General features: G+C 34.1%; 1 long non-coding RNA gene and 1 pseudogene across 1 annotated transcript; one reads left to right on the top strand and one right to left on the bottom strand.

Annotated features, from left to right (window-relative positions):
- USP9YP11 (USP9Y pseudogene 11) lies at nt 5,491-8,930 on the top strand (annotated as a pseudogene).
- TTTY3B (testis expressed transcript, Y-linked 3B) lies at nt 5,555-10,450 on the bottom strand. Its single transcript, NR_002176.1, has 3 exons — nt 10,347-10,450; nt 8,014-8,148; nt 5,555-5,659 (listed from the first exon to the last, which is right to left on the bottom strand). It is a non-coding gene; the product is annotated as a testis expressed transcript, Y-linked 3B (long non-coding RNA).

Here is a 10,450-nt window from a genome sequence, read left to right on the forward strand (position 1 = left end):
GAAATTCAGCCCCTGATATTTCACGTAGGTTCTTTTCTATTTTCCCTAAGTGTTGGCCTCTTTGAGAAATAAAGGGAAAGGGTACAAAAGAGAGAAATTTTAAACCTGGGTGTCCGGGGGAGACCTCACATGTTGGCAGGTTCCGTGATGCCCCAGAAGCTTCAAAGCCAGCAAATTTTTAACAGTTATTTTCAAAAGGAGAGGGAGTGTATGAATAGGGTTTGAGTCACAGAGATCACATGCTTCATAAGGTAATAAGATATCACAAGGCAAATGGAGGCAGGGTGAGATCACAGGACCACAAGACCGGGGCAAAATTTAAATTGCAAGTGAAGTTTTGTGCACACATTGTCATTGATAACATCTTGTCAGGAGACAGGGTTTGAGAGCAGACAACCGGTCTGACCAAAATTTATTAGGCAGGAATTTCCTCGTCCTAATAAGCCTGGGAGTGCTATGGGAGACCGGGTCTTATTTCTTCCCTCAGCTATGACCATAAAAGACAGCCATCACCAAAGCGGCCATTTCAGAGGCCTCTCCTCAGGGGCACATTCTCTTTCTCAGGGATGTTCCTTGCTGAGAAAAAGAATTCAGTAATATATCTCCCATTTGCTTTTGAATGAAGAGAAATATGGCTGTGTTCTGCCTGGCTCACTGGCAGTCAGAGTTTGTTATCTCCCCTGTTCCCTGAACATTGCTGTTATCCTCTTCTTTTTTCAAGGTGCCCAGATTTCACATTGTTCAAACACACATGCTCTACAAACAATTTGCACAGTTAACGCAATCATCACAGGGTCCTGAGGTGACATACATCCTCCTCAGCTTACTTAAATGACAGGATTAATAGATTAAAATAAAGACAGGTATAGGAAATCACAAGGGTATTGATTGGGGAATTGATAAGTGTCCATGAAATCTTCACAATTTATGTTCAGAGATTGCAGTAAAGACAGGCATAATAAATTATAAAAGTGTTAATTTGGGGAACTAATAAATGTCCATGAACTCTTCACAATTTATGTTCATCTGCCATGGCTTCAGCAGGTCCCTCTGTTCGGGGTTCCTGACTTCCTGAAACAATGCTTTTTCCAAATAACCTTCCCGAATTGTTTCCCATTTCACCTGATAGTAATCACGTCCTGTTGCAAAGGCCTAAAACTGTAAGGTCATCCTTGATGCTTTTATTTTCATCTCATCTTTTCTATTAATCCTCAAATTCTGCATGTTTTCTTTTTAAAATAGGTTCACAATCTAACCACTTTTCCCTATTTCTCCTGCGTCACCCAGATACAGGTCATCCACATTTCTCATCTGATTCACTCATCCCCTTTAGTTATCTTCTACCTTCCACCGTAAATAAACCCACCATCCTTGTCCTTCTTAATTAAAATTAAATCACTAGATATTGTCACTACTTTCCACTAAAGCCAAAATATAAGTTCCATCAGTATGTGGATTTTTGTCTTTTGTCAGGTGAACTGGGGTAAATAATACCTGATATATTTGCAGTTAATTTGATCCTTTTTTCTTATTTATTTATTTATTTATTTATTTATTTATTTATTTATTTACCTATTTTTGGCCTGCAGTGGGGTGTGATTAAGTCTTGCTCTGTTGCTCAAGCTGGAGTGACAGGATCTCAGTTAACTGCAACCTCTGCCTCTCAAGTTCAAGCAATTCTCCTGTGTCAACATCCTGAGTAGCTGGGAACACAGGGGACTGCCAGCCCAACTGGCAGTTCTTTTTTGATGTTTTTTTTTTTTTGACATTTTTAGTACAGACGGGATTTCACCATGCTGGCCAGGCTGGTCTCAAACTCCTGACCTCAGGTTGTCCACCCGCCTTGGACCCCCTGTATTCTTTCAATTATAGGTGTGATTAACCATGCCTGGCATGATCTCTATTCTAAAAGATTCATAGACATAATTTCTGCAACAGACTTATTATTTGGTCTTCTTATTAAACTGTGGAGATTGAAGCAATAAAAGGTTAAGCAATTATTTATCCTGCTGGTTTTATTAACAAACTAGATAATTCTGTGTGATTCTATTTATGTATAACAAGAATTAAAAGGTAAATTAAATTCTTCAGGTGTATGCTGAACAATTTATAATTTAATGCTGATATTCCTGACTTCTTTCCAGATTCTGAGTTTCGCTTTCTTATAAAAAATGATTTAACATTTAGGGGCATAGTTAGAGGCATTATTTATAAGGAAAGCATCATCCAACTACATGGCCTTTTCCTCCACTTTTTGCTATGTAGACTGGAGAAAGCATTCTTTCATATTTAATTCCAATTTTGAGTTTACCTCACATTGTTTTTCAGTTGTTCAATTCCCTTCCACTTTATGTGACTGGGGCCCATTTCGTACTTTTAAGTTGCTTTTAAACACATATCTGTGTGTTTAACTTGCATCTACATTCCTGCTAAGGCTTGTAGTGCTCAAAACTTTCACTGAGGTTTCAACACATTTTTAATTGAGAGATAACGCACAAACTATCATATTAGCCATTTTAAAGTACACATTCCATGATATTCTGGGTATTCATAAAGGTGTACAAATATCACCACTTTTTAAATACAGATTTCCATCACCTGAAATAAATAAAAAAATACCACTGCACCCATTACCATTAAATCCCAGCTTCCCCATTTCCTAAAGCCCTTGGTATCCAATAAGACATTTTCCGTCACTATGGATTTGCCTACTACAGACACTTCATATAAATGGACTCATACAATATGAGGCTCTTTGTGACTTACAGCCTTGTGCTGTAGATTATCCTCAATGGGGCTATGTATAACAAACACCCATGAAAGATAAAGATAATGCCTCCTTCCAAGGCAGAGTGTCCTTTCTTTAAAATGCCGGCATTTCCTAAGCTTGAGATTTCTGAAACAGGTTTAATATTCTGTCCTATTTTTAAACCAAGCATACTGATGGAAAAAAGTTCCAGTATTTTGTCCAAATTCTTTATCTTGGTGGTTTCACTATGAAATAAATGAATTTGCATCAATTGTATCAGATATATGGTAAGGGAATGTATGATGCGAATGCACTGCAAGGGTAGTGTTGGCCTAGGTCCACCTCCACATCAGGAGTTGATGGAAATATTTATATTGTGAATAATGCTACTACAAACATTCCTATACAAATTGGCATAAATATACCTTAATTTTTGGGAAATATGCTGAATGTACATCCAATTATTTGGGAAACTACTGGACTGTTTTCTAAAGGAGCAACCTCACTTCATGTTCCCGATAGCAATTGGATGAGTTTCCCAATTTTTCCATATATTTGAAAACATCTGTCATTTATTTCTCATTACAGTCCATTCTATTCAATATAAACTTGTATCTCATTGTGGCTTGATTTTTCATTTTTCTGATAACTTATTATCTCTTCATATGCTTAGCTGTAGATTTGATGTGACAATGATAGAAAAAATTAGCTGGGTGTGGTGGCTGACACCTGTAATCTCAGCTACTGAGGAGGCTGAGGCAGGAGAATTGCTTGATCCGGGGAGGCTGAGGTTGCAGTGAGCCAAGATTGCACCATTGCACTACAGTTTGCATGAAAACAGAGAAACTCTGTCAAAAAAAAAAAAGAAAAAACTTGTGGAAATTTTATATGAGATCTCATTTTTCTCTAACTTTCTGCTGTTCTAATATCCTGTCATTTTCTCTATCTAATAAGTTGAGCCTATAATACTTTTTCTTTTGCAGGGTAGTGTTAAAACACCGGGAAATGAGTGCTGATTAGCAGATATAAAGAGGCCACACTGGGGTAAGAAAAGAGTTATGTGTCTTTCATTTCAGAAGACATTTAACTCAAAATGGTCGGCATCACTAATTGTTAGGGAAATGCAAACCAGAATCACAATGAGATATCATCTGAGGCCAGACAAAATGGAGATTACTAAAAAGCCAGGAAACAACAGATGGTAGTGGGTTAGTGCAGACATAGCAATGCTTTTACACTGTTGTTAGGAGTGTAAATCAGTATGGACATTGTGGAAAAGTGTGTAGTAATTCATCAGATATTTAGAACCAGAAATACCACTGGACTCAGCAATTTCATTACTGGGTACATAGCTCCCCTTCAAAATAAGTCATTCTATTTTAAGTATACATGGATGTGTATGTTTATTACAGCACTAATCACAATAGCAAATACATTGAATTAACTCAAATGCCCATCAGTAACAGACTAGATAAAGAAAGCATGGCACATATACATCATGAAATAATATGCAGCCACTAAAATGAAAGAAATCATGTTCTCTGAAGGGAGATGGATGAAGCTGGAAACCATCATCCTCAGAAAACTAACAGAGAAACGAAAAAACAAGCACTCCATGTTCACAATCATTAAACGTTCACACTGAACATTAAAGACACACAGAACAGCTTTCGACTTGGTCTGTCCAGAGGCAGAGAAAAAAAGACCTTCAGAATAAATAGCTTATTTATGTGGGGCTGAATAACCTCGGTGATGGGTTAATAGTTGCAGTGAACAATCACGGAAAAGTTTACCTATGAAATAAACCAGTATGCCCTGCATATGTACCCTGGAACTTAATATAAAATGAAATTGAATACATTAAATAAAAAAAAAGCTTTCTTTTTGTAGAGGTGAGGTTACAGTAACTTTGAAATGTGTGCCACACTTTATTTAAGACATTTTTGTAATTGCAATTCGAAGTTGCCAGAAACTACATTGAAAAGTAAATAAGTAATATATCTCAATTCTTAATTGATTTAATTTATTTTCTTTTATTTTTATAAAGGAATCTCACACTGTCTCTTTGGCTGGAGTACAGCAGTGCAATCTTGGCACACTGCAACCCCCTGCTTCCCGGTTTCAAGTGATTATTCTGCCTGAACTTCTTGATTAGCTTAGATTACAGGTGAGCACCGCTACACCTGATGGGGTTTCACCATATTGGCCAGGCCTGTCTCAAGCTCTTGGCTTCAAGTATGCTGCCTGCCTTGGCCTCCAAAAGTGCTGGAATTACAGATGTGAGCCACCACACCTGTCCCTTGATTGAATTTCTAATTGAGAAAACATTCATCTTGCAAAAACTTATTTTTTATATCATATTTTTGATGTTTTTCTTTATATGTTTCGTAATTCAAGAAAAATAATGTAACTTTAATGCCTTATTATTATTGAAAATAAATTTATTTCCATTAATATGTAATTTAAAAAGTAGGTTAATTTAGAATGCTATTTTTGTTTTGGGTAAAGTTCTCAGGTTTTAGAAATTTCTTCAATAATCTAATTTTGGAAATGAATTACATGCATTGACTGTTCTTGGGTTTTTTGAAATGATTTTTCTTTGGAACAAAATTCAAAATTGTTTCAAAATATAATGAGATTTTAATTATGTCAAATAAACATAAAAGTATTTTCTTGAAAAGACATATTTTTCATAACATATGTTTTCTACTAATAACCTGTGATTTATTTTTCTAACTTACCAAGAATTAATTGATGTTGTTGTCTTCCCTGCATCAAAAGTTTAACTGTAATGTCTAAGAAATAAAAAAACTGCCAGAAGAGCCAGCTCTTCCAGTCTGTTCCTCTTCCATTACCATCAATCCTGGTTTTGATCTGCTTGTAGCACCAGCTATTGGCTGTGTAAAGAACCTTAAAAAGATAGTAGACTGTTTGAATGCAATATATTACAGAGAGAAAGCAACAACTAGTGAATTTTTACATTATAAAGCTGTTTTTCTTCAGGAATAATAGTTTACTTTGAAAGTCTACTTTTTATTTAGAAGGAATTAACTCATAGTTTTCTTGCTTGTTTGCTTTTGATCAACTAGTTTAACATTTTGTAGCCATCAGGTATATATTTAAAACCGTTTATGTCAGACAATATTAAATTTAAAAAAATATATGTATTTCTTAAGTGCTCCCCTATACTTGGTGTTGGTAACCAAAGTGGGTTTTATTGAATCCCATGTTAAAAAATACTGAAACCTCAGAGTATCCAGAAGCCAAATTTAATGGTCCAAATTTTATATTTAAAATGTATGCATTAAAATGATTTTTATAACCCAAACCTCGAAGTTACTTAATGTTATTTTAGTTAAATTCTAAGAGAGGTATGGCTTTAAAAATCATAATGTGAGAAGAAAACTTTTGAGTGAATTTTATTACTTCTAAATGTCCACATAAGTCCAACAAAGTAAGTATCAATGTTCAAATCTTACACAGAACAGAAACTCAGCCTGTGAGTTAATATAAGTAAATGAGCAAATGATAACAAAATTCAGCTTATTTCAAGAGAAAACCAAGGATTAATAATACAGTTAACAACAGCATTCTGTACAGATCTTTAATTGATGAATGTGAAATTCTATTTGTTTACGTTTTTCTCTGGGCGAGTATATTTTCTAGCATATTGTAGGAGTTTCTAGCTAAACTCACCACTTAAAAAGTCAGATCTTTATTTGTCTCGTGAGATCTATGTAAAGAGAAGAGTTTCCCTCTTAAAAACACCTTGTATGTTAATTTATTTAACAATTGAATTGACATAGTTTATATATGTATATATATATTCAAAAGACAGTTTTTAAAATAAACCCTTTTTTAAAAAAACAAACAGATGTGATGGCATTAAACTATGTACCTAAGGGGTCTGAAGTTAAAAATCTGTAATGGTCACTTGATTTATTGTTAGTATGAAAATTCAAAGTACTCTTTCAAAATGGCTGTGATGACAAATGAGTTGTCATCAATATTAATTTGTCACGTGATGGAAAGAAGAGTGGGCAGAATTATGATTTTCATAGTACAAGCATTGTTTTTTCTTCTGATCTCAGGTTGTGAAGCACTTTTTGAGTGGGAATATCTGCTCTCTGTTAGATCTCACCTGCCAGAAATATTTGCGGGACTCAAAAATGCTGGTGCTACTTATCATATGAATGCTGTGATCCAGCAGCCATATATATCTATATATATGTTATAGATATACATACGTGTGTGTATGTGTTTCCCCCCACACTGAAAACAGTATTCTTGCAATTGAATGCATAGGTAAAAATATAGATAATGATTGTTTGAAGATGAGAAGCAGAACAGTGAGGTAAATTCTAATTATTAATTACTAATAGTTTGAAGATTCTGATAGCAGCTACGGTTTTTCTCTCTGCAATTATTGTTCTTTAAAAGAATTTGTGGTAAGTACATTTTTATAATGTGGCTAAAATCGCTGAGAAACTATGACTGTTATATTTATATTGTCTGTGTTTCATAAGCTGTGCTTATTTTTAAAATTCTCTAATATGTTTTTATGAAATTAGAGCTTTTTCTGCTAAAGAATCAAATGTGTTCTTCAAATTATGCTCCCTGATTTTGTAAAAAATATTAGTTAAGAATTATCATAACACTGCCTATGAAAAGTTTAATTTGAACATAAAGCAGTAAAAAATTAGGTTACAGTGGTGATCACCTATTTAGGATACACCTCCAAATAAGTAAACATGGAACACCTAAATTTTGGTAATGTTTATACTCAAGATCTTTATTATTATTATTATTATTATTATTATTAATTTTACTTTTTGTGTGGATATTGATAAAAACTAAATTAAAAAATCAGAATAGTTTTACTGTAATAAATTGTTTTCCTACAATGTCTTCATTTTTTCCTTTCAGTTGGCAGAAATAGTTTGTCTTTCAGTTACCAGTGTCCCAGCATTTAATGATTTATAGACATTACAAAACACACACTTTCTTCCTCTTTCTTAGACCCAGAAAATTATATCATCCAAGCATTGCAGTTGGGGTAGCTTTACTTTTAGTAGAATCTTCATATGGGATGTTCACCAATACTTGGTTAACAGACACTATTGGAAGAAAAGTTGGAAGGTAATTTCTGACATGATAGCCCGTGTTACCCCTAGGGCGTTGAATTTAACACATATAGAGATGGTTAATCACAACAGCAAGAAGCAGATGAAACAGAATATAAAATTTCAAATTAGGTATCTTACCTTTGGACTTGGTTGCTTGTGATTTATGTTGTCTCATTACTGTACTGTGGCATGTATATCTGCCTTGTTCCTTTTTCTATGCAATGAGCTTCTCTAGGGCAGGAACTGGGGATTGTTTATTTCTTCATCACAAACCTATGACACAACGAAAACAATAAGAAACCTCTCAGATACTTGGAAAGCAACTGTACTTTGCTCTATGGCTACAATCATGTTTTGACTTTTGGAGCTTCTCTCTATGCCCCCCACCCCATCCTTCCAAAACTAGGGTTAATAGGCATATTTATTCAGTGTTAATAATTCTGATTTCATCATGTAAATAATCTTATGTAATTTGGAAAATGCATTATTCCCAGAAGAAGATACAGAATCCTACAAAGACTAAGTAACTTATTCCCCCAAAGTTACTTATTCCCCAAAGTTACTCATGGCAGAGGACTCATTTGTCTTACTCCTGCCTGCTTGAACAAATTTTACTATATTATATTATCTCCAGTGTAGGTTATTATTTTATGAATCTTTTATGATAACTTTTCTGTAAACCCAGTTATAATAGTCTATGTTTGAACTGAGCAATAAGAGTAAAAAATAAAAAGTAATTTAAGTGTTTTGAAAATTAGGAATGTACAAAATGTATATAATTTTATTCAGCAAGTTTTTTATTTGTTTCAACTTCTTTCCTTATATTTATAAAGTTAAATGAGTGCATTACTGATTTTTTGGTCATTAATGTTGATCCCCAAGGTAATTTATCAGAATATTTTTATTAATTGGAAGACAATCCAGAGTTAATAAAGACAGAAGATAGAAAAGAGAACAATATTTGTGTCATAAGACATCTTCAAGACATCTTTGTTCATTGAGCTGTTTTCAAAGTACAATCATATGTACCCAAAGAATTTTGGTAACAGTTATGGTAAATTTTAGGTGAGTGATTATTTCAGTTGTATAAAAGCCTCAATAAGTTAACTAAATATTACTGAGGCAAAATACTTCATTTAAGAGACATTATATTAAGTGAAATTTGCCAGGAAATATAAAGCGCAAGGATTGGTTGATTTTATTCATATGTGAGAAATAACAAAGTTGATCTCATATAGGTAGAGAATAGAATGACAGATTATTATAGGCTATGAAAGACATTAAGCAAATAAATGAGTTAGTTAATGTGTAAAAAATAGTTAGAAAGAATAGGTTCTAAAGTTTGATTGTATAGGAGGGAGGTTATAGGTATGAATAATTTATTATAGATTTCATAATAACTAGAAGTTTAGATTTGGAAAGTTCTTGAAACAAATATGTCATATATGTCGGAAATGACTAATATACCAATTACCAGTATGCCATTTAAAAATTTGGTCATTGCTGATTTTGTGCATGTATCAAGATAACGGTTCTACATTGTAAATATGGAAAATTATAATGCATCAGTTTAAAAATGATAAATAGTGGTCTGTTTAAATAAGAAATTTCACTAAATGTGGCCATTTCTGAATTGTAAAAACCTCTTTCTCTCTACACATTGGGACTTTGTGATCCAAATTCTGATTTTAGAAGTACTTGCGACATGTTCTTGGGCAGACTGAGGACATGGCAGAAAAGCCACACATGCCCCTCTTCAGCATTAGCTGGAAATTGTGGTCCAGGGCTCTCCTGGATGCCATGAAACAATATGTGCCATTGGAAAGATAATTACTAGGTTTTCTTGCCTTAGTGTTGAGACAGCTTCTTTGACTGAAGACCATAAAATAATTATAAAACTTGCAACACGTATAAAGTGTTGGGCAAATTAAAGAAACAGTCTAATGAGGAAGTGCTCAGAAGACTTTCAAATAACATAAAAAGATGGTTTTATAGAGGAAAATATTACCAGGGAAGTGCAATGAGATGATGATCCTATTCAAGAGCAGGCAGTCTGGTATTTTCTAGCATGTAGTTTGCAATAACCTCAGGAATTACTGGATCCCACTGTCACATGGGCAATGCCCTTTGAAGAGCTCCCTATTGACAACAACAACCTGCTTAGTTGATGAATGGCAGTTTCAAAGTGGGTGTATAATGTCCTGTTGCAAGGCTCTCATAGAGACCAGAAATGAAGACCAGTTGAAGATTGAATGAGTAAATTAGCTCAATGATTGAACTCTATGCTGTTAAATGATTGTTTTATAAAGGCAATTGTTTGAATTCATGAGTCGTAAACAGTAATCAGTATCCTGGCCATGTGAACAATAGAAAACTGGACTTTCAAACAGATGCCAGTATGTGATACACGGACTTTCAATGGGCTGAATCATATCCTGGCATCCACTTAATAGTAGAAATTTAAGGGGTACCTTAAATAAGGACATGTTGATCCCCATTTGAAGAATCTTCTGCAGGATGATTGGGAGGTCATTAGAAACAGGACATCATGATGTAGTCCCTTGAAGTGGCAACC

Source organism: Homo sapiens, chromosome Y (assembly GCF_000001405.40).
Source record: "Homo sapiens chromosome Y, GRCh38.p14 Primary Assembly".
NCBI lineage: Eukaryota > Metazoa > Chordata > Mammalia > Primates > Hominidae > Homo > Homo sapiens.